The 23,495-nt window shown below is 41.7% G+C and overlaps 1 protein-coding gene and 1 long non-coding RNA gene across 11 annotated transcripts in view, besides 1 other annotated feature; both read right to left on the reverse strand.

Annotated features, from left to right (window-relative positions):
* The window catches only part of NEBL (nebulette), a 513,078-nt gene that overhangs the window by 220,606 nt on the left and 268,977 nt on the right, over positions 1-23,495 (reverse strand). For all 10 annotated transcript variants that reach the window (NM_001377326.1, NM_001377327.1, NM_001377328.1 and 7 more), the window contains one exon: positions 19,539-19,623. In NM_001377326.1, the coding sequence (NP_001364255.1) occupies positions 19,539-19,623 (85 nt within the window). The remainder of the gene's footprint in view (positions 1-19,538; positions 19,624-23,495) is intronic.
* On the reverse strand, positions 2,420-18,186 carry LOC124902389 (uncharacterized). Its single transcript, XR_007062084.1, has 2 exons — positions 14,278-18,186; positions 2,420-12,405 (listed from the first exon to the last, which is right to left on the reverse strand). It is a non-coding gene; the product is annotated as an uncharacterized LOC124902389 (long non-coding RNA).
* Positions 20,054-20,213: an enhancer, noted in NCBI's record as "active region_3119". NCBI's record gives its function as "activates an Ori minimal core promoter by ATAC-STARR-seq in GM12878 lymphoblastoid cells {active_cell/tissue: GM12878}" and the evidence as "EXISTENCE:reporter gene assay evidence [ECO:0000049][PMID:35858748]".

The raw sequence follows: 23,495 nt of genomic DNA on the forward strand, positions 1-23,495 counted from the left end.
AGCAAAACATTTGTAGAAAAATAAAATCAAGTGGGTAAGAATTTGTTTAAATTGAAACTCTGAACATTTTGAGATAGAAGGTTAAATACTTACTGCAAACAGAAATAAGGCTCCCAAAACGAGAAAGCAACACCCCAAAATGACAAAGTGAGCAAAAGACTGCAATGGAGCAGATGACATCAGGTAAGATGTCTCTTGTCTTTCTGGATGCTCTGCTGTTTTTGCAGTCTAAGATATGGAAGAAAGCTGATTCACTGGAGAGAAATCAAGTGCATTGAAGGGAGAGAAAAAAGGTAGGATGGCCAGGAAGGGCCACATTGGGATTTAAGGGCAGAGAAAAAGGGAAGAAGCCCAGATAGAGCTGGAGAGCTGGTCTCCTGCAGACAAAGCCAGCACAGGAGGGTCCTGACTTCCTGGTCAGGAATTCGCTCCTGCACACCCAATCATCTGCAGTTCCCTCAGGAAACCAATGCAGGTCCCCATGAGCTTGTATAGATCCTCCCTTCTCCACAGAAAGCAGCAGGTAAGATGTCAGAGGGATGGAGGTGGTCAGGAAAATGCTAGTCTAACCCCAGGCCTAGACTCTATTGCCTGCTTCCCCAGGTCCAGCCAGCCGACAGACCGCCAGAGACAAAAAGCTAACAGCACCTGGTTGTCACATTCCAGGTGAAAACAGGTACCTAGTGCTAGAGGAAAATCGGCAAGTAAAGAGAATGTCTTGTCCCACAGACATTCCCTGGGACAAGCTGGGAGCCACGTAGCAGCTGGGAATCAGAGAATCCAGGGAGGTGGAACACAGCCAGAGTTCTTCCTATCAGAAAGATTTTTCCAACTTGTAAGGTGGACATCATTTCATAGCCTAGCAAAATAAATGATTTGCAAGACAAGCTATGGCATTATCACAGATACTCCAGGGAAAGAAACCCCAAGGAACATCATGCCACTACTGATAAAGCTCAATTTTCAGTAATTAGGAGGTAACTAACACGCAATCCACAGGTGAACTTATTGCAGAAGCCTAGTGCTCCTTGGGAAGTCAATATACTCACAACTTTTTTTTTTTTTGTCTTTAGCCCATTTATGCCTAGTGTTCCATCATTGGAACTCTAAGCATGTGGGAGTTATTTATATCCTACTGCTCAAGGTCATCGCCAAGGTCTGATTGCAAAAATTCAAAAACCTGCAACCTCAGACATGAATGGATTAATTGCCATTTGTTTTGTTTTCTAATGGAAAATAAGAACTGATTTCCTCGCTCTGTTAGGTAGCAATCTGATGTACCCTTTCTCTCCACCCACCACACCATATATAAGCAAAACTGGTCTCTGTTTTTCCACCAACACTTATTTCTCATTTGTGGATTGAGCTAAAAACACACACAATTAAAAAAGAAACATAAAGCCAACCCTTTTTCTCTGCAGGTAGTAATTAAGGTGATTTGTTAGTTAGTTGGGTTTTTCTACACGTATTTCTTTTTCTTTTTCAGAGATGAAAGGTACTCGCTCGATGTAAATGTCAACCTCCAAAAAGGAGTAGGTGCTTCTTAGACAAGAGGAAGATATCCTTGATGTGGGAAGGAGGGAGGGTTTTTTTTTTTATGGTGATGAAACATTGTTTTTTTAAAATGTTGATTTACAGTAATATTACTAACATGAGTCATAAAAAAAGTTATTCCTAAATAATTGTAGCAGAACTTCGTGTCCTATGCAGGAAAAAACGTCATATAGAATTGCAGATTACTTTCCAAGATAAACACCAGAATTCAGTCATCTAGCACTTACTCACCACCTACTACCTAAACCTTATAAAGTTATCCTACGCTGTAGAATGTTTACCATGTCAAAGGTCTGTTAGATGATATTTGTATTTTATTACAGAAATAAATTCTTAAATTATAAATCAACAGAAAATTAAAGATTTAAAATTGTATTAGTCCATTCTCACGCTGCTATAAAGAACTGAGACGGGGTAATTTATAAAGACAAGAGGTTTAACTGGCTCACAGTTCTGCAGGCTGTACAGGAAGCATGGATGGAGAGGTCTCAGGAAACTCACAATCATGGCAGAAGGCAAAGGGGAAACCAGCACACCCTCACACAATGGAGTACGAAAGAGAGCGAGCGAAGGGGGAAGCGCTACACACTTTTAAACAACCAGATCTCGGGAGAACTCACTTACCATCACGAGAACAACAAGGGGGAAATCTGCCCCCATGATTCAATCACCTCCCACCAGGCCCCTCCTCCAACACTGGAGATTACAATTCCACAAGAGATTTGGGTAGGGATACAGAGCTAAACCATATCATCAATTAGTGAGGTCTCTTTCACACCACTACCCACAGTGTTCACTCTAATTTAAAATGCCTTAGACTGAACCCATCATGATGGGTTTAATAACATCACAGGTATTTTCATTATGTGGCTTTTTTTTTTTTTTTTTTTTCAAATTTAGCCCTAATATCCCATTTTCTCCAAAAGGAGCTCTAAGTTTTTCTTCTCTGTTTTCACAGCCACCTTGATCCTGCCTCCTAACTTCTTCACATTGGGCTTCTTTAATTTTCCAAGCTTTGCATTTCATAAAATCCCTAGACCACAGCTCTTCTGCAGTGTTTCCCTATCCTAATTAAGGAATTCATCACCTGTTTCTACTAATGCTTCTCCCACCCTGGGGAACACAGACCCACTTGCCTGACCTCCCACGCCATGCAGCTGACACCTTTGGAGGGAAACAGCTTTATGGATTAAGCTCACACTTTTTCTCATGTCTTGTTTCTGTTCCATTGTCTCCTGACAACCCATGTCCCTGCTGCCAACACCTCGCCTGCCCCACAATCTCTCCTTTAATGCTGGTTTCCCTAGCATTTTGATTGAAAGGATCTTTTGTTATGAAGCCATGTCAAAACATGCACATTTGAACTATTTTCTGAACCAGATTATTCTTCAAAGACGGAAACCATGAATTTTCCTTCTGTATCCCTACTGGTACCTAATACCTACATCTGAAACCAACTCTATTCAATCAATGATTATTGACTGAGGGATGACGTCATGAGTTTCTTGAATCGACTTCGGTTGTACACATCCTGCTGTGAAGCTAAAAGGTTCTCAGGCAGGATCTTTCTAATCAGAATAGGGTTGTTCTCTGCACAGGTACAATCACATGAGGAATGTAGGAAAATTGTCATATAATTCTGCTTTTCATAGGAACTAGCCTTTGCTTAAACTATTCAATTATTTTAAGATTTTATGAAAATCTCAAAACGTATCTAAATTTCTTGGGGAAGAAATGTATGAAAGGGAATAAAAAATATCTGAAAAACCCTTTCAGTTCTTGTCTCTATTATGGAACTTTATAAACAAACCAAAAGTCGTCCAAAAAATCAAGAATCCATGAATGTATCAAATGTGTATCACGGCTAAAAATTCTGGTTTGATTCCTGTAGTTCAAAACAACAGAATGCATTGTAACCTGAAATTTTTTCTTATACGCATACACATAAGTACGTGTATATTAAAGACATTTGAATTTGAGCATCAGATTGTTGATTTTTTTAAACCATTCTAGCCTTTAACTGACCTACATTGATTCCTTTACATTAAGAATGCAGTGGATATTTGGTAACAACAGTGTTGTTTGAAGAAGTTTCTTCTTCATGAACACTTCTCTAAAATGCAGACATCGTTATGAATAAATGCATCATTAATAAAAAAATAAAAATTCAAAGCCATTGAAATATTGGAAAAATTTATTAAAAGAGTAAAATTTTGGAAAAAAAATGCCAGGAGTGTTCATTATTTGGGACGACGTTCTATGGAACTGGTTCTCAAATATTAACAAGCGTAAATAAGAATCACCTGGGCCGGGCACGGTGGCTCACGCCTGTAATCCCAGTACTTTCGGAGGCCGAGGCGGGCAGATCACGAGGTCAGGAGATCGAGACCACCCTGGCTAACACAGTGAAACCCCATCTCTACTAAAAATACAAAAAATCAGCCAGGCATGGTGGCAGGTGCCTGTAGTCCCAGCTACTCGGGAGGCTGAGGCAGGAGAATGGTGTGAACCCGGGAGGTGGAGCTTGCAGTGAGTCGAGATTGCACCACTGCACTCCAGCCTGGGGCACAAAGCGAGACTCATCTCAAAAAAAAAAAGAATCACCTGGAGAATTAACAATGCAGATTTCTGGGCCTCCCTGTCAGTGGGTCTGGGGCCAGGCCCATGAATGAGCATTCTCACCATATTCGCTAGGTAACTGTGATGCATACAGGTAGGCAGGAAAAGACTATTTGGAGAAACACTGACTCACAGAAAGCATCTCACCTTTCTTTTTCCTCTAAAACCCTTTCAGTATTAACCTCTCAAGGTCTTTAGGCATTTCTATGGAGAAACTGGTGAATTAAGGGTAGGCCATTTAATAGAGGCAAAAAAGGAAATCAAGACCTCACCCAAACAAATTCTTAGGTTCTTACTGGCCTGAGAGTAACACCTTATGCCCTCCATTTTGCACGCTCACAACCAAATAAACAGACAAATACCAAATTGAGGACAGAAAGTTCAATTGCAGCTGTTAACAGTCCCTGACTTGTGCAGACACACACACACACTCACACCTTAGTTCTTTAAGGAGCACAAGGCCTAGTATATGACATAAAATAGACATCCAATAAACATTTGCTAAAAGACCTAATGCCTTTAGAGCAATAAGTCACAGAATACCCATCTAAGAAATCAGCAGGGAGACCCCCAGCTGGTCAAATTGGCCAGATTAGTCCCCAGCAGCCTGAATGGTAAAGCCTCAGTGTTACTGACTGTGAAGAAGTAAAACAGTAAAATTTAAAATGTACATAAGCAAATCTGTTTTAAAACCATTATCTGGCCAGGCACAGTGGCTTGCACCTGTAATCCCAGAAGTTTGCAAGGTCAAGATGGGGGGATCGCTTGAGCCCAAGAGTTCGAGACCAGCCTGGGCAACATAGGTAGACCCCATCTTTTCAAATAAAATAAAATTAGCCAGGCATGGTGGTGCACACTTGTGATCCCCGCTACTCGGGAGGCTCAGGTGGGAGGACCACTTGAGCCCAGGAAGTCAAGGCTGCAGTGAGCTGTGATCATGCCACTGCACTTCAGCCTGGGTGACAGAGCAAGTGTCTCAAAACAATAATAATAATAAATTAAATAAAATCACTATTTTATTTATTTTTACATCTACCCACCCATAAGTATAATCTGATACAATGAATTACTGACATACTAACACTTTTTTTTTTTTTTAAGTATTGCAATCTTTTTTTTCCTTTATTTGCTAGGCTCACCCTGTAAGCCCCAAGAACCAATGTTAGTAACCTGGAATATATTAATCCATATTTTTCTACCTATACATATATTCCTAATCAGAGCTAAACATATATAGACATAGATACGCAAACGCAGGCACACACAGAGGGTTTGGTCATCTCTACGCTTTTCTACATCTGTGTTTCTCACTGAGCAACACTTCACAGGCATACCTCCAAGGCATGTGGCTATAGAGCTCTATTTCCTTCCTTTAAATGATCGCATCATATTCTTTGGTGCAGATTATCAAAATGTAACTCACTATTCTCTTGCAGATGACCTTTCGCTCTGTTTCCAGTTTTGTGCTACTACAAACGGTGCTGTCATAGACATCCTTGTACTTACGCTTTCTATGCTGATAATTTTGTTTCCATGGGAGAGATTCCCAGGAGTGGAATTGCCAGAACAAAACGTATTTGTGTCTTTCAGGTTTTAACACTTGTTGCTAGATTGCTTTTTTTAAGGCAGTAAGAGTTCATGTTTCCAAAAGAGTTAATATTTTAATGGAGATAAAATAAAATTGTGCTTAGAAGGCAGGGAGTCCATAATCTTTCTGTGACAATGCCACCACTCTCCGTGAGACCTGTAAATCCAACCAGTCCTTCTTCCCTGTTCCTTCCCTTGGCCAGCCCAGCCACTCCTGCTAAAGCTTGAGACTTTCTAGGGTTCCACTGATGGAGTTCACTATACCCTGAACTTCTGCATTTATATTCTAAAGCAGGCTACCATAACTTTTCCAAAGGAGGAGTTGCATGGCTTTCACCAAATTTCCACAGTGGTCCGAGACCCGAAAAGCATTAGGAGCCACCCTTCTAGAGTCTGATGGATGACAAGAGGATTGGGATATTGTTTACGACATGATTTAATTTTGCCAAGGATAACAATAAGAAGAAAGTTGCTTTTTTTGGAGAAGTCTTCCTGTGTCCATGAAGCAATCAAACCATTTTCGATCCACATTATTTTAAGAAGGAGCGAGTTCTATAAATAGTTGACAAAAAGGCACAGGTGTTGGGTGGGGAAAGAAAAACAGAAAGAGCTCCTTCCAAACCAGGTAAAGGATCCTTTCTTATTCTACATATTTCTCAAAGAATTTGGCATCTGATCCATGGAAAGAGGAAAAGAGTCACTTTGGGGTTTCTTTCAAAGAAAGGATAAACATTTCAGTGGAGAATGAGAGGAGAAAGCCGAATGAAATACAGAAAAAAAAAACTGTTCACAGAATTTGGGAGAATATATTTTGAGGGGACCCAATAAACACCTCTAAGTCAGGGGTCAGGTCTTTCCTCCATTCACCCTCTCTCCCCACAGCCGCTGGTCTCTCGCCTCACACAACCCGCACCCAAGAGCTGGCAGGGCTGGGCCAAAGGAGGTATCCAATAAATGTAGATTAAACCAATAAATAATTAAAGCAGCCTTATACAGATAAGTTACAGGAAGTATGGAGGGTCCTTCAGTGAGATTTCTTTGCTAGTAAAGGTTTGAAACCAAAAATACCAAGGTTTTTCTCCATTTGTAATTTATGCCAAGAAAGAACTGGAAAAGCATCTGTCCACCTGTCAGAAAAGTGTCTTGTTCTTCATTCTTATAAGACTCTTGCTTTTTATGAAACTACCTTCCATTCTTTCTATTTCATTTCATACATTATCACCCTTATCATCTGACGGCACAATATCATCCAGGCGATTGCTTAGTGTGGTTATTTATTAGTAACCATTAAATTAAATAGGATCACTGGCCTCTAGTTTAAAATCTACAGCAAAGGACAAAGATGAAAACAGACATAAAAAACCTTAAATTAATGAACAAACTACACAGAGAAAGACCCACTAAAACAGGTAAAGCCTCTTGAATTACATCTGTGCTTGTTATATAGTAGAATGAGTGATCTATCCTCTGGAATCAGTAATATTTTGAAAAAGATCTCATTACCACACTTCCAGAAGTAACACTACATGTTTCTGTTACAGTTTTTCACATTCGCTATTTCTTAAAACATATGGAATAACTAAAAGACACAGAGACTGCAAAGCTAATTCACAGATGGGGAACTTAAATTGCAATAAGGTGACTGTTAGAGTGTCCAGCAGTGAATTAAATCATACTTAGCCATTCATAACAAAAAAGAAAAGACACTTCATGTTTTCTTGGTCTTTCAGGTTTTCAAGACTTTCCCGAACATTGTCCTTCCAAGTTAACTTTGTTATATTATTATATACGTGTGTGTGTATATATGTATAGGTAGATGTCATACAAATGTATGTAAAAACATGCATATATTTATATGCATAATGAATATGTTTGCATATTGTATGCATATCTATATATATGTACAGTAGTCCCCTCTTATCCCTAGTTTCACTTTACACAGTCAACTGTGGGCTGAAAATAGGTGAGTAAAGTACAATAAGATATTTCGAGAAAGAGAGAGACCACATTTGCATAACTTTTATTACAGCATACTGTTGAAATTATTCTATCTTACTATTAGTTATTGTTGTGGTTTTTTATTTTTAAATTTTTTTCCACAGATTTTTGGGGAACAGATGGTATTTGGTTACATCAAAAAGTGAGCTAAGGACATGAATAGACAATTCTCAAAAGAAAATATACAAATGGCCAACAAACATATGAAAAAATGCTCAACATCACTAATGATCTGGTAAATGCAAATCAAAACCACAGTGCGATACCACCTTACTCCTGCAAGAATGGCCATAATCAAAAAATCAAAAAATAATAGATGTTGGCGTGGATGCAGTGAAAACCCGCTGGTGGGAATGTAAACTAGTTATTGTTGTTAATCTCTTCCTGTGCCTAATTTATAAATTAAGCTTTATTGTAGATATATACACATAGGAAACAACAGTATTTATAAGGTTCGGTACTATCTGCAGTTTTCAGACATCCACTAGGGTTCTTGGAACATATTCCCTGCAAATAAGGGGTGTCTACTGTATGCATATTGTATGTAATGTATGTATATTATATGTATATCTACATACATGTATATTACATATAATATTTATTATATATGTATATAAAAAACCCATATACATACACACTCCTAAGACATTAAGTGGTATTCCTATGAAGAATAAAATATTCTAGAATAAAAAGATTCAAAGCCTTGGAAATTATCCAATTCTAAGGAAAACTTATATAACAGATATGTTCTCTGTCCAATAGCAGAAATATAGTTAAGAGCTACTTTGGTTTTAATTTTAATGGTTTATAAGCATTAAAGCCATTCTAGAGGTTTTTAAAAGAATCAGTATTGAGGCTCTATGACTGCCTAATTAAAAATAGAATGGAATTCTTGGTTTTACTATATTTCACTTTTTTGTATAAGTAAATCGCTTGGAATTGGTATATTTAGTTGTGTGGTGTCTAAAATACTGTGTGCTTAGGAAGCTAACTCAGTAGCTAAAGATGCTTATTAGATTTATCTTAGAAGACATTCACAGATCATGGATTCCTGTAAATAAGAAAAATTCCACAGAAACAGGAGCTCAGTGTCAGTCAAAAGGGGTCCAGAGCAGCTCTACCAGTTGGGATCAAATTTGTGTTGCCTTAATTTCTGATTTAGCATCATCCTGACCCTTGACTTCACCAAAAATCAAGAGAGAGGGAAGGAGGCAGAGAAGGAAATTCTAATTGCTCTCTTCCAACATTTTGTAATGAGAAAAACTCCATTTTACAAAGCACAACCCATATTTTGGAAGCCCAAGTATCTCATTTCAGAATACAATACAATTGTCCCAAACGGAAGCTTTTTCAAAGAATGATGTTAACATAGTCATCTTTTCTCTACAGAATTTCTTGAGCCTGTTTTTATCCTTTTGCAAGGCCCCCAGAGAATTCCGGTGGGAAGGTCCTTCTGAAGCTAATGGGTGCTCTAAACAAAGTTCTGAGGTAAAGGAAAATGACAAGTAGGCTAGATAATTTCTGCTTAAAATATATAATTTTTAAGCACACATATATGTACTTCATGAGAGTTTAAACATTCAGGGCACAATAAGGGCTACCGCAGGCTGCTGGTTACCCCTAGAGTTATCTCCAAGAGGCCTTTTCTGAATTCTATATTGTCCTATAAATTTGGTTTTGTTGTTTAAGGCCATTACGAGACAGTAGTGTCTAAGTAGTGTCCTCCTTTCAAAAAATACATTGTTAGGAAATTAAGAGTGTTGATTAAGGGTATTAAGGAATAGTTCCCTAATGAGCCTGTTAATTTAATGAAATGGGATTGCTTTAGATCAGCTCCTCTGTATAAGGGATCACAGAGACATGCTGAATTGAGATATATGGTTTTTGTTTGTTTGCTTTTGTTTTTGTTTTGTTTCATTTTGTTTTGAGACAAGGTATAGCTCTGTCGACCAGGCTGGAGTGCAGTGGCACAATCACAGCTCACTACAACCTCGACCTTCTGGGCTCAAGCGATCCTCCTACATCAGTCTCCTGAGTAGGTGGGACTACAGGTGTGTGCTACCATGCCCAGCGAATTTTTTAATTTTTTTTTTTTTTTGCAAGAACAGGGTTTTGCTATGTTGCCCAGCCTGGTCTCAAACTCCTGGCCTCAAGCCATCCTCCCACCTCGAACTCCCAAAGCACTGGGATTACGGGCATGAGCCACCACACCCAGCCAAGACCAACTTTTGAAGTTCAAAAGCTACCACATAATCAAGCAAAGCCATTCAAAAAAAAATAAGAAAGCATTAGGAAGTAAAACTAAAATAAGACATTTCATAAAAGTATACAAATATATAGAGTTACTCTACTTCTACATAGAAAACTTGAAAAATATCTACTGAGCTAATTAGGAAGTCATGTAACATGGCATAAATGACTTTGAACGTAGGTTACTGAAGCTCGACAACTGAGTTAAATGATGAGTTGCTATCAGTGAATGAACAGCATGACTGTAGCTATTCTTGTCTTTCGTCCTGTGCCATTCTTTAAACATCTTCCAATGTGAAACTGATTTGCCCATCAACTTCCCTCAAATCTATGTGACCTCCCAATTATGACCTTCAGCCAATATCTGAGACCAGTCCAGGGAAGGAGCTATTTAGAGAATGGTCAAATGAAATGGCAGGCCTGACAATTGCTATTTTGGCAGAAAAGAAAAAATAATGGCAGTTTTTTTTCAAGTTCTTTTATTGCTACATTGAGACATTATTGCAGAACATTTTTGTACTAAAATCAGAGACTATTACAACTGGAAGGAATTTTACTACAACCTACATCTTATGCCCTGAAAAAGGTTAGGAGTGCCCAAAGTCACACTTAGTGGCAGGGACAGGGGGAGAGCCCAGATCGCTGGGTGGCTGGTCTAGTGCTATATTTACCCAATAAAATCAAAGCGTATACAACAGGTCAGCAACTTATTTACGATGTACTCGTATTCTGATACAAAAGAAAACCAAGCTTCTTTATGTGTTAGAGCTGCCCTGTGATTCTTTACAAGTCCGTACCACACGGAAGTGGAAAGAACTAAATTTAGTTCCATCGGTTGCATTGAGTCCATTCAACAACTGAAACAGTCAGCTTAGGTCAATTCCCATTTCCTCCTGCTTCCTGGTTCCCCTCTGAGATGATGTCCTGGAGTGTGTGAATGAAGGAAGAAGAAAGCCTGGGACCCATGCCCACATTCCCTCCTTCTCTCCTCGAACTCCTTTGGCCTCAGTGGTGTCTCCTGTCCTCTCAGGTGCCAGGCACCCTGTTGGCATCTGTGGCTGGCATCTGTTGGCATCTGTGGCATCTGTTGGCATCTGTTGGCATCTGTGGCTGGTAACCCTGTGGTGTGTTCTTCCTTGGCTCAGGAACAGCCTAGCGGTACCCCCTGAAGACACTTCCTTCCATGCTTCTCGTTGAGGTCTAACCTCTACTCCCCACCTGCACATCCACCCCTGGCCCCAGGGCCACACTGTTCCTGCAATGGCAATGCCCCTGGCAGCTCCCAGCAAGCACCTCAGCATCCTTCTACAAGGCACATTGCAGCTGCCATCGCCTTCCACACTATGGGAGAGACTAAGATTCTGGGAAATGCAACCCACATTCTTACTTTGCCTGCCATGCTGCAGAGGCCCCAAGTCTGCCACTGAGGTGGGAGGAGATTGGGAATACATTTTGTGGGGTGGTTTTCTCTGCTTTTGGCAGTTTAATCTGCCTCTCCCAACTTTCATCTCTGAGCCTGCAGTCAGCAGAGAGAGAGGAGGTCATGTTTCAGTCTCCGATTTTCTGCTTGCTTCGTACAATCTACCATGGCCAGAAGTGGGAGTAGGGTAGGTGCCCCCCTTCAAGTGGGACCATCTTCCCTCCTTCCCAGAGTGCCACTCACTCTTCACTCTGTTTCTCTCTCTGGGGCCACAAGTGTGAAGCAGGATGGCAGAGCATGATTTATGTGAGAGAAAGATGAAAAATGCATTGATTGTGTATATATATATTTATTTATTTATTTTAATTTTAGAGACAGGGTCTCACTCTGTCACCCAGGCTGGAGTGCAGTGGCATGATCACAGCTCACTGCATCCTTGAACCCCTGGCCTCAAGCGATCCTTCTGCCTCAGCCTCCTAAGTAGCTGGGGCTACAAGCATGAGCCACCATGCCTAGCTTATTTATTTTTATTTGTTATTTTTTTTTGGCAAACACAATGGTTTCCCTATGTTGCCTAGGCTGATCTTGAATCCTGGCCTCAAGTGATCCTCCTGCTTCAGCCTACCAAAGCATTGGGATTATAGCCATAAGCTACTGTGCCCAGCCTGATTTAATACTTTTAAAACATCCTCCTCGATAGATAGACTATATATTGAAACGCCTAATACAAGGGCCAGTTACCAGACTCTGAACCACTTACTCTTAACAAACAGCCTAGAGCCTGCCCACCCAAAATACAGCACTCACACCTCCCTCCACCGTCAGCTATGGGAATGATGGAAAGGGAAGTAGGGTGGGCCAGGAAGGAATCAAAGGACCAACTTTCCAGGCCTTGGGAAACAGATGAAAAGGATGCAGGTCATCTCAGGAGGGTTGAGAGTAGAACACCAGGTCCCTGTGATTAAAGGGTCGAAAACCTAGCAGTGCACAAAAATCAAAACATCTTGGTTATTTTCCTGTCTCCCACTACTGACATTTTTGTCTCTTACATCATTTTATCCAGGGGTACAATGGGGGCGTGGGGGCAGGGTGGGGATCTGACTTATGGGAAACTGTGAGGGTGAGTGGAATCGCAAAGGTTGGAGTTAACATCTGCTTAGCACGCTGTGCTCCCTGAAGGAAATGTACCACATCCAGTGAATTCATATGTCCCCTTTGAAGTTCTCATTCACATTCACCCATTCCTCTATGTGAAACGTAATCTCTTATCATTTACGTTGCCTCAAAACCTTGAAAATAAACATGCTGAAGCTTCTCCCAATGAACTTTAACCATTACATACATGAGAAAGTGCTTACTCGGAGAACAAGAAGCATTACCATGGATCAGAAGACAGCATCAAATGGTGGAAAATCAAAAGGTGGAAGTGTAAAGCTGCCAAAATGGCGTTCAAAGAAAAGAGAAAGTTAGGAGGCAAGCATAAAAGGCTTCTTGTCCAAGACCAGCAGAACCCAACAAAAACTGTCGGGAGAAGCAGTGTTTGTGTTTAGAAGTCTGAAGTTGTCCAATGAGATAAGACATAATAAGAGGGCCAGGCGCAGTGGCTCACGCCTGTAATCCTACCACTTTGGGAGGCCAAGGTGGGTAGATCACTTGAGGTCAGGAGTTCGAGACCAGCCTGGCCAACATGGTGAATCCCCATCTCTACTAAAAATACAAAAATTAGCTAGGCGTAGTGGTGCGCACCTATAATCCCATCTACTCGGGAGGCTGAGGCAGGAGAATCGCTGGAACCTGGGAGGCGGAGATTGCAGTGAACTGAGATCGTGCCACTGCACTCCAGCCTGGCAACAGAGTGAGACTCCATCTAAAACAAAAAGAACCCAATGAAGAGCAGAGTCCCCTAGGATTAAAAAATGGGGAAAATGGATATATATTTGGAAATGGGATCCGGAGCTGAGCAGGATACAGCAGACTGTTCTAAGATTTTATTATGCATCTGCTGCAGAAAGGTCTGCAGGCCTCCAACTCCCCAAAAGTGCCTTAAAACATACTTAAAATACACTCCATTCTCTCTGCAGGTCTTGTTGCAGTTGTAATTTTTCCTATTTTTTATTATTATTAATATTATTTTAGATTTAGGGTCTCACTCTGTCACCCAGGCTGGAGTGCAGTAGTGTGATCGTAGCTCACTACAACCTCAAATTCCTGGGCTCAAGTGATCCTTGCACCTCAGCCTTCCAAAACACTGGGATTACAGGAGTGAGCCATCAGGCCTGGCCTATTTTTTATTACGTTATTACCACCCTCTCTCCCACTAGACCATAAACCCCCTGAGAGTAAGGGCCTCATCTGGTTTCACTCACTGCAGGATATCCAAAATCTGACATGCAATCGGTATCCAGTGGCAAAAGAAATTTAGGTCAAGTTTAAGATTGGGCAATCATACAGAGTGGGATTTGAAACTTTTGGACAATGCTATCCAAAATAATTCTCCAATTATCTTTGGACAGTCAATGGAGTTCTTCAGTCAGGGATTCTTTGCTTTGAAGGAAGTCAGACTTCAGCAGACACGCTTTAAGATGCAACTCCCCCCTGAGAAAGGTTCTGCTTTAGGTAATATTTACCAGTAAGGTCCATCTTACTGGATGGTTAGATGACAGATAACTGAGAGAAAACCCTCTGGAAATGGAATATAAAATAAGAAGGTTCAGAAATGTGCCAAGGGCAAGCCACGTTACTGCCTTCTGGAGCTTCCAAAGGTTTATACTAAACACGTGCCTTCATTTCTCCCAAAAGATGTTTAACTATTATGTTCCCTATAAAAAGAAATCACTTTTACTTCTTACCCTTACTACTATCATTTATCGTACTTCCTATGAACCACGTTTTCATGCCTCTGCAGAAACCTGGAAGATTAAAAAAGAATCAACATAGATTACAAAAGAAAGACTCAAAGGTTCCAGAATGATTTGCATTCTCTCCATTATCATTTTCCATCTTTCATCGTATCTGCCCTCATAAATTACACATACTCCATTTAAGAGCACAGTGAGCCCCAAATCCCTCTTATTTTCAACATGATTGCAAATAGCTAAGCCAAGCACATAAACAACTAAGTGGGCAGTAGCTATTGTTTTGTCTTCATTTTAAGCAGCCTTTTTCAAAACCATGCTCTACAGAAGACCAGGTTTCCTTAAGGCTCTGGGGGTGGGAAGATGAGGAGAGTCGGGGGGGTTTGGAGATGCCAGGGGCTTGCCCCCGCTCCCCTGCTTCAATCACGGTAGCTCCATGTTGTTGTCTTCTCAGTAGGGGCTCCCACTCAAAATGTCATCGGAAGAACCATTTCAACGGCTTTGAGAAGGCTCCAGAGCCCTGGTTCAGAGTACCCAAAGCATCTATGCCTTCCCTTCCAATAAGAGTGTGCTACACAGCCCGAAAAAGGGAATGCTTTCTACCACATGATATTAAAATAATCAGTAAATTTATTTTTTCTGTTTTTTGGGGTTTTTTGTTTGTTTCCTAGAGTCTTGCTGTGTCAGCCAGGCTGCTGGAGCACAGTGGTGTGATTACAGCTAACTGCAGCCTCCAACTCCTGGGCTCAACAGGATCCTCCTGTCTCAGCCTCCTGAGTAGCTGAGACTACAGGTATGCACTATCATGCCCTAATTTTTTATAAAATGTTTGTAGAAACAGGAGTCTCCCTATGGCGCCCAGACTGATGTCAAACTCCTAGCCTCAAGCAATCCTGCCACCTCAGCCTCCCGAAGTGCTGGGATTACAGGCATAAGCCACAGCACCCGGCTAGAAATTTCTTTTTTAAGGGGTCTTTCATCTCGCCTGGATGTTTTAAGTTTAGGGATCACCTAATTTACAAAGAGTTTGTGTTCCAAAACTTTTGTTTCTAAGTCAGGGCTTTGGATCTCACTTTCCTAAAGAAAATGAGATGAGCCACTCCCAAGGCAAGCAGTAAAAGCCTGATGCCCCCGCAGGTGAACTATAATGTTGCTGATTCCACCAGAAGCAGTTTTACTTTTGCTTCTTGTTGAATGGGCTGCTGCGGGCCCGTGGGGGCGTCTAACCACTCTTCATGCTATTTCTTTGAAGCAGTTCATGCTGGGATGTGTGATCAAAAGGGAACTAGTAACTATAAAAGGGCTTTCCTTCCCTCTCTTCCTCTTGACTGCCAAGGTCCAGAGCAGTCCACATCTACTGCAGTCAGAGGCTGGCCAAGTGGATGTTCACCAGGTACTGGATAAAGCCTATGAACCACTGGCTTTGAAGAGCTAACTCTTGGTTTGTTTGTTTATTCACAGTATTTCATAAAATGTTATTATGACAATCTGGCACCTGATATAGATTCCAAAAAAGCTTGAGAGGATTTAGCATTTAGATGTAAAATATTCACAGTGTTTATAACCCTCTCAGGAAGAGAGGGGGGGAAATAAAAAGAAAAGAGAAAATTTTTTAAAGAAAGAGATAACAGTGGGTAACTATAAATAACTTTCTAGATTGAATTGGAAAATATATTTCGATTTTCTTTATTTTTGGCTCACTTGGTAAGCTAATGAACTGAAAGAAGAGAACTGGTTTTAACCAGACAATTCTAAAAGATTTCAGAATTTGAAAACTTGGAGCTATGAATAGATGTGATTCACTTAGCATCACAAATGATCAAAACAAGCCTATAAAATATTAATAGTCAATTTTCCACCAAAACCAGTGAGCTGTTCAGAACTCCAGATATCAAAACTCTAAGGAAATGCTCTCATGCAGAATCAAATCATTTAATAGGCTAAAATGAAATCCAATGCCATTACTGAGTATTACCATTAGGATAGATACCTACCCACGTTTTTGCAAAAATGGAAATATTCTTACAGAAGTGTTTTCACCTCTCACCCAGAAAAAAAGAAACCATAATGACTTCTTCCTACTTATACTTAATGCCAAATTCTACCTTTACATACATTGCATCAACCCTTGTATTGCAATTCTTTGCTTACAGATCTTTTCTAGGTGCTCTCTGAGCAAGGGGACCAGGGTACTGGTGAAAAGTGTGGACATCGAGGGCTCAGAGATCTAGGTCCCATTCCAAGACCTATTCCGTACCAGCTAAGTGTGAAAGGGCAGGTTATCGAAATTCTCTAAAGGTTGAATGTGTTACCTAAATAGAGATAATAATAAACACCTGTATCATTGAAGTTGTTTATGATTAAATAAAATAATACATGTAAAATTATGTCCTTGGAATACAGCAACACTGTTGATGATGATGATGTCTTTATATCCCAGTGCACAGAGTAGGTAATCAATACATGTTTCTTGAATTGCATTGAATTTCCCCATGTTGTCTGCTTGATGGAGCCCAATTGCTTCTAAAGAACACGACATTTGAGCAAAATCTTTATAAAGATCTGATGTCTTCCCCTGACTGCTGCTTGGCGATCCCACAGATCTTTGGACATCTCGCCATTAGCTCTTGTCCCACCAGCCTATAATTATTTGTATATGCCACCCTTTGAAGCTTGCAGCTGGCCACATCAGGGAGAATAAAATCGGCCATTCATAAAACAGTGACCTTGTTCTTCTTTGCATCTCCAAAGTCAGGCATATAATAGGAAAACAATAAATGCTTGCTCCTGGAATGCACTGAAGGCATCTATAACCACTAACTGAGCCCAAAGTGTGTGGTGTGCCTTCGAAAGGGAGGAGACAGTGGTTATATCAGATTCTTTCTCAACCTTCAAGGCTCCATTCAAATCTCACATCTGGCACAAAGCACTACGGAGTCCAATCCACACTGATTCTTCTCTTTTTTTTTTTTTTTTCCCCAAAATAGAGTCTTGCTCTGTTGCCCAGGCTAGAGTACAGTGGCACGATCTCGGCTCACTGCAACCTCCACCTCCCATGTTCAAGCAATTCTGCTTCAGTCTCTCGAGTAGTTGGGATTACAGGCATCCGCCACCACTCCCAGCTAATTTTTGTATTTTTTTGTAGGGATGAGGTTTCACCATGTTGGCCAGGCTGGTCTCGAACTCCTGACCTCAAGTGATCCACCCACCTCGGCCTCCCAAAGTGCTCGGATTACAGGCATGAGCCCCCGTGCCCAGCCTGATCTTTCTCTTTTTCAGTCCTTATAACAAATTAAATATAGTCATTCCAAGGTGTGTGTTAGTCCTCTTTCCTCAGACACCCTATAAATTTATGAAGGGAAGAGAAACTAATTTTAAATGATTTTGCACAGTACCAAAGCATGTCACAGGCAGGAAATGAGTATTTGATTGCTTGATTTAGTTCTATGTCCAGTGTGTACTTGTCCAGAATTACCTGATGAACCCTAACTTGACGAGAAGAAAGGCACATTGGATATGCACAGAGCAGATCCAGATTCTGGTACCCCTGGGGGTGTGAATGAACAGAGGTGTTCTTGCCGGCCTCCATAATAGTGTCTCTCTTTGGCCAGCACCTCATTTTTGTAACCAAAACCAGTATACAAACACCAGCATTTTACACAAACTAAAAAATAGCTCCCAACCATCTATTCATGGCATTATTAACCAACAGTAAATTCCACTTGGAGATTATTTCCTCTAATTAGATGGACTGAGAAGTGATCCCAAGTCCCCCAGAAAGAGACTACAGGCAACTGCAACCTCCCCTGTGATTAGATACACCATCAAGGAAATGATTCAATCCCAAGCCACTGAGAGCTGCCTGCTCTCATTAAGAAAGAGCTTCAGGCCGGGCGCAGTGGCTCACGCTGTAATCCCAGCACTTTGGGAGGCCGAGGCAGGTGGATCACAAAGTCAGGAGTTCAAGACCAGCCTGACCAAGATGGTGAAACCCTGTCCCTACTAAAAATACAAAAATTAGCCGGGTGTGGTAGCAGGCGCCTGTAATCCCAGCTATTGGGGAGGCTGAGGCAGAGAACTGCGTGAAGCCGGGAGGCAGAGGTTGCAGTGAGCCGAGACGGCACCACTGTACTCCAGCCTGGGCAACAGAGCAAGACTCCGTTCTCCCACCCCTCCCCCCAGAAAAAGAGCTACACACTTGACATGTTCAAGCCTGTTAGCTGGACACCTCTTTCCTTCACAAACTCTGTGCGTTTCCCTTTCATATACCAGGAATTCTCAGGGACCATCATTATCACCATCATAACAAGCCTCCACAGTCATAGAATATCTTCTCACTTTTTGAAATGCTTTCACACCTAACTACCTCATTTAATACTTACAGACACCCTCAAGACAGGTAGACAAGATGGACTGTCTCACTGCACGTTAGTGCAAACATCAGAGAAACTGGCCTAAGGCCACAGCCAATGAACAGATGAAGGAGGCCTACAACCACCTAGCCTCCCCTGCCTCCACCTTCCTTCTCCCCTCTTCCGTCCTTACTTCACCACTGACCAATGGATTGCAATGTAGTTGCTCCGTGTCTTACTATGGGGTGCCAGGAAAGACAGCTTCTTTGAAAGAGAGCACCCCATATTTACTAAAAGATCAAGTGTCCCTGCAGAAAACGCTGCCACTCACAACCCTAGTCTTAACTGATGTGTTTCACCATATTGAAGGCAAGTTGCCATCTAACATGGTTGACCGGGAGCCAATTGTGGTGTTCTCATCTTTGTTCATGCTGTCAATGTGACATATGAAAGAAATATGAACAAAGTGACAGGAGGAAAACAAAGCCCTTGGCTGGTGTGAGATACACAGACGGGGTGTTAGCCGCACACACACTGCAACTGGGTCAAGTTAACACCTTGTTTTTCCCCACATATGCGGTGTGGAAAAGCTATTTGTAAAATGTGTTTAAATATTTAGGACCAAATAAGTCAAGATTGTTGGGAAACATTGACTCTGACCGGAACTCATTTACTTGCCCTAGTCCAACGTGAATAACAAAACTGAGAATATCAGGACAATTCAAGACCGGGAACAGTACAGATGTTCAACACTTTCACCCGGAATTCCCACACAGGCCTGCTTTCAGCCTCCACACCGGCTGGTGACCCAGCAGGAACAGTACGAAGACAAGAATCTCAGAAGAGCAGCCTTGTGAAAAATCTTTAGGGCCAAGGGAACAAAACAAATCTTCTAGAAGTTACCTGACTCTGCAATTCACTTTGCTGCTTCAGGCGAAGATTTTCAGGTGTATCTGCCACCGTGGTGAAGGACTGCTTCGGGTAGTGTCTGTGGGGAAATTTTTTAAAAGGACATAATTAAAATATTGTGCTACAAAACAACACTTTCACACCCATTGTTTTGCACATCCCCCCTTTTCCCAACCCCATCACAGTGGAAGAGGGACCTGAGCTTGGCTAAGGTCATCTCTCTGTCATTATTCCAGACCTCATCCCATTCTCATGGCTCTGTCGCCCAGACATCCTCACTCTCTCCCACAGCTTAACCTTGACTTCTCTTTTCTAAGCGCATCTTCACCCATGCTCAAGGTTCTCCTAACCTCCACCGTTCCTGCACCCCACACACCCTTCCAGCATGTGTGCCAAATCATCCATCCTCCAACCAAACTTCCTGACAAAGAAGCCTCACCTCACAGTGCCTGCCCATCTCCTCTCCGACTCATTCCCCAACTCTATGACTGGCTTCTGGCTTCCGTTTCTAGAAGTTTCTCTTGCCCGTTATAATGACTTTCTGTGGACACAACCAACAGACATCTTGTAGTCCTCCTCTTGGGCGGCCTCCCTCCATCTTGAAATGTCGTCTCCCCGGGTTTACACACACCCCTGGCTCAGCTGCTCCCTCTAGTGGTTCCTTCCCTGTCTCCTGCAGGCTCCCCTAAGTCTGTGTATCTCCCCACTCAAGGTCCTCACCTGGGATCTCTTCTCTTCTCAGTCTACACCATCACCTGGGGATCACATCATTCCCACAGCTTTGGGGCCTCTCTGTGAGCTGACTACTCCGAAGTCTGAGTTTCAGATCCAATAGCATTTCCATTTGCAGATTCCATACCCAGCACAACTCCACCAGTCCAAAACACAGCTGTTCATCACCCCACCCCTCCATAACACAAGTTCCTCCCCTGGATCTTCTTTTTCATTTATTATATTAGTGCCCCGTAGCCCAAGTCAGAAAGCTGGGAGTAATCTAGATTCCTCACACATCCAATCACTCGTTCACCAAATCTATTGATCTTGTCTGCAAATATATCTCAACTATTTACTTATATAAATGTATATATGTGTATATGTCTCCATCTTGACTCCATTTTTTAATTGTCGGCCACATTTATCGTTTAGGTGACTACAGCACTAGCCAGTCTTGCCCTTCCCATCTGAGAACAAATGTTCTCAAATGCAAATCTGATCACGTCACTCCCCTGAGTAAAACCTTTCAACGGCTTCCAGTTGATCTTGGAATAAAGTCTGGCCTCCTGTCTGCCAAGGCCCCCATGGCCAGGCCTCTGCAGACTTCTCACTGTGAAAACTGCATGCTCTTGCTGCAGGGATCACTTCAGTCCCCTGAGTTCCCCCTTCTCGTTCCCACTGCTCCCCTGACACGTTATTCCCCTTTCCTGGAAAACCCATCCCTCTTCCCATCCTACTGCCCATTTTTTATAAACTGTGTTTATTTTTCAGGTCTTGCCTTAGATGTCACTTTCTCCAGGAAGCTCTCCTGGCCTCCCAAGTTTGGGTCAGGAATGGCCCCTGGATGGACTTTTCTGCCCCTGTGCTAATGCTTATCTTGCTCATGGCTTTTCCTATTGGCAGGCCTCTGCCTCACAGTACAACGAAAGTTCTGTGGTAGCAATAGTGGGCTGTCTTGTGCCTTGCTGGGGTGCATTCCTGCCTATATCGCTAGCACCTGCTAGTGTCTGCCTCTTAGTGTGACCTCAGTAAATACTTGTGGACAGAAGAAACGAAGGGATGGAGGGAGCAGAACAACCACACAAGGAGCCCATGCCTTGGCTACAGTCAAACTTCAGCGTGTCCTATAAGGCATGTCGTCGCATTTGTGCAAACATTCAGCGGCCTCTTATGTTCACAGATGACTCCCCTGGTGGTGAGGAGATGGCATTTCCTCCCTGTGTGCAGGTAAAGACTCAAACACTGATTCAGAGCTGCTGTCCCATCTACTCACTGCTCCCATGTTCGGCTGGCGCTGAGGAGACACCTTTAGCTGCTGTGACCCCATGGTCACAAAAGCCACAGAGCTCAGAGCTGCTCCTCAAAGAACATCCTCCCTGTTTGCTTCTTTCTAGCCCCTCTCCTTTCTGGTATCCACGTGTGTCTCTTCCTGTGGCTTCTCTAACATCCTCACTGTTTCAAACTCGACTCTCCTGGTAAAAGTTTCTTTTCAGCATCCCTGTCCCTGGCGTCCCATGAGAAGGCTGATGCAGTAATCATTTGTCGGTGCAGATAAAGCCTACCCAAAGCACGCTAGCACTTGCGAAATAAAGATTAAATATTGTAGCTCCCACGGAGTCAGATTCGTGGTAGGAAAATGTACATGCAATTCTCATTTTTCCAGCATTCTTCAGGAATTTAATGTCCCATATAAGCCAATGTTCCAGGTAATTGGAGTTAACCCCATAACTGCTGGACTCATTTTAACTATTTTAATTAACATCCTTCAAAACCCTTTACACAATTTTCCTGCCTTCTTAGAGTATAAACGAATCTAGTTATATTTTTTCCTGATAATGTAGGGTCATCTTAATAGATATTATCAGACCATGATACAAAGAAGTCATGCTTTTGAAGTTTGTAAAGGTAAATAACCCAAATCATACAAGATGATTATGCTTGTATAACCGCTGGACTGTCAAGAGATAATTTCTCACACACAGCATTCGGTTCTGCCTCATCTTCTCTAGATAGTCAAGTTGTTTAAAATGTTGGTAAATACCAGAGTTATTGATTCAAACGAGTAAGGTGTAGCAGGTAAGGTCTTTTGCTCTCCTTATGCTGAAGTCAGACAAAATGTTGGCCACACTCTTCCAGGGGCTACTTCTGAACTATGTTCCAGACAATAGACAGAGGAAGTTAGGCAGACAACTCTGGTGTGTTATGTAATATTTGCAAGTTCCAACTTGGGAAGTTGAACTTTACTGAACTTTAAAATGTAGCAACTACGTATGGCTGTATTTTAAAGCTATAGTAACAACTGAGCATGTTTTCTTGTGTTTTGTTTTTCAAAATGTATTCTGTGGGATAAAGTTGCCACTGAGATTTTCAGGTCTCTACAATGATTAATTTGAAAATTTTACATATGGATTTTAACCATTTTTTAAACTGTAATTAGAATCCACTGTCAAATGTGTTACAGAAAGTTTAGCCCGTTGAGAGATCCCCTTCATACTAACTTGCAGGTTCACTCAGTTTGGGGGCATGCTTTGGGGAACAACCTTCTTCTGCCATTTACCTTTAATTTAAAATTCTGGGCCAGGCACAGTGGCTTACCCCTGTAATGCCAGCACTTTGGGAGGACGAGGCAGGTGGATCACTTGAGGTCAGGAGTTCGAGACCAGCCTGGCCAACATGGTGAAACCCAGTCTCTACTAAAAATACAAAAAAATAGCCAGGCATGGTGGCGCACACCTGTAATCCCAGCTACTTGGGAGGCTGAGGCAGGAGAATCGCTGGAACCCAGGAGGCGGAGGTTGCAGTGAGCCGAGATTGTGCCACTGCACTCCAGCCTGGGAGACAGAGTGAGACTCCATCTCAAAAATAAATAAATAAATAAATAAATAAAATAAAGTAAAATTCTGCTTAATTATTTAATTAAAGAGTATCCTGAGATTGAAAAGTGAACTGTTAGAGGAGAGTGCAATTTGTGTCTCTTCACTATGTGTGCACAAATTTCCTCCATGCAAGACAAAAATGAATTCTATTTGGATAGTAATGAACTTCACTTGCTGCCCATACCACTAAGTTTGAAGTATCATTTCAGGAAAATAATTGAATTGTTCTCACCATTTGACTTTGCAACATGAAAGGGTGATAGAACTTATAAAATATATGCATATAAATAAAACACTACTTTGATAAGTTTGGTATGAGCATCAAAGTTCTATTTGGAAAAAGTGTTACTCTGGGGAAAAA

This window comes from Homo sapiens, chromosome 10 (genome assembly GCF_000001405.40).
Source record: "Homo sapiens chromosome 10, GRCh38.p14 Primary Assembly".
Classification (NCBI taxonomy): Eukaryota; Metazoa; Chordata; class Mammalia; order Primates; family Hominidae; genus Homo; species Homo sapiens.